This window comes from Homo sapiens, chromosome 17 (assembly GCF_000001405.40).
Source record: "Homo sapiens chromosome 17, GRCh38.p14 Primary Assembly".
Lineage (NCBI taxonomy): Eukaryota > Metazoa > Chordata > Mammalia > Primates > Hominidae > Homo > Homo sapiens.
The window spans coordinates 51,598,089-51,599,724 of record NC_000017.11 but is presented as its reverse complement, the minus strand read 5'-3'; the positions used below and the strand labels follow the sequence as shown (position 1 = coordinate 51,599,724).

General features: G+C 45.7%; 1 annotated feature.

The window, feature by feature from the left end:
- Nucleotides 375–1,122: an enhancer, noted in NCBI's record as "OCT4-NANOG hESC enhancer chr17:49675964-49676711 (GRCh37/hg19 assembly coordinates)". NCBI's record gives its function as "activates a minimal SCP1, AML or CMV promoter by ChIP-STARR-seq in naive H9 embryonic stem cells {active_cell/tissue: H9 hESC(naive)}" and the evidence as "EXISTENCE:reporter gene assay evidence [ECO:0000049][PMID:30033119]".

The window sequence follows — 1,636 nt, the reverse complement described above, 5'->3', positions numbered from 1 at the left end:
AGAAAGGGACTACAGGCCCCATGCAAGTTCAAAACCCAGCAGAACAGTCATTAAATCTTAAAGCTTCAAAATAATCTCCTTTGGATCTGTGTCCTACGTCCAGGACACACTGGTGGAAGGGGGTGACTCCCATAGCTTTGAGCAGCTCCATTTTTGTGGCTTTGGAGGGTTCAGCCTCCAAGCCTGCTGTCACAGGTTATTTAGTTCCTGTGGCTTTTCCAGGGACAGGGAGCAAGCTGCCAGTGGATCTACCATTCTGGGGTCTGGAGAATGGTGGCCCCCTTCTCATAACTCCACTAGGCAATGCCCCACTGGGGACTCTTTGTGGGGCCCCCAACTCCACATTTCTGTTTGACTCTACCCTTGCAGCAGGTTTCTACCTGGGCACTTAGGTTTTCTCATACATTCTGTGAGATCTAGGCAGAGGCTGCCAAGCACTCTTCACTCTTGCATTCTATGCACCTGTAAGCTTAACATCACATGAAAGCCACCAAGGCTTACAGCTTGCGTTCTCCAAAGTAGAAACCTGAGCTGTACCTGGGCCCTTTTGAGCCACAACTGGAGCCAGAGCAGCTGATTGTGAGGAGCAATGTCCCAAGGCTGTACATGGCAGTGGGGTTCTGGCCCTGGCCCACAAAACCATTCTTCCCTCCTAGGCCTCTAATGGCAGAGCTGCCACAAAAGTCTCTGAAATGTCTTTGAGGTCTTTTTCCAATTGTCTTGGCTATTAACACTTGGCTCCTTTTTAGTTATGCAAATTTCTCCAGCAAGTGGTTGCTTTCAACCTCCTCGAATTCCTCTCCCTAAAAGGTGTTTTCTTTCTCTGCCATGTGGTCAGGCTGCAAATTTTCCAAACTCATTCTGCTCCCCTTTTAACTGTAAGTTCCATCTTTAGGTCTTTTCCTTGCTCCCACATTTTAGCATAGGTCCCACATTTTAGCATAGGTTGTTGGAAGCAGCCAGGTCATATCTTGAACACTTTGCTGCTTAGAAATTTCTTACAGCAGATACCCTACATTATCACTCTTTAGTTCAAACTTCTACAGATCCCTAGGGCATGAACAGAATGCAGCCAAGTTATTTGCTAAGGTATAACATGTGTGACCTTTGCTGCAGTTTCCAATAAGTTCCTCACTGCTGACTGAGATCTCATCAGCCTGGAGTTCACCATCTATATCACTATCAGCATTTTGTTCACAACCATTTAACCCGTTCTCTAAGAAGTTGCAAATTTTCCTCATCTTCCTGACTTCTTCTGAGCCCTCTAAACTCTTCCAACCTCTGCCTGTTACCCAGTTCCAAAGTTGCTTCCACATTTTCAGACATCTTTAGAGGAATGCCTCACTCTTTAGTACCAATTTTCTGTGTTCAGCAATTCTTGCATTGCTATAAAGAAATAGCCGAGACTGGGTAATTTATAAGGAAAAAAGGTTTAATTGGCTCATGGTTCTGTGGGCTTTACAGGAAGCATGGTGCTGGTATCTGCTCAGCTTCTGGGGAGGCCTTAGGAAGTTTACTATTATGGAAGAACGTAAGAGTAGCAGGCACATCATGTAGCAAAAGCAGGAGCAAGTGAGAGAGAGAGTTGGAGTGGAGGTGCCACAGACTTTTAAATGACCAGATCTCACAAGAACTC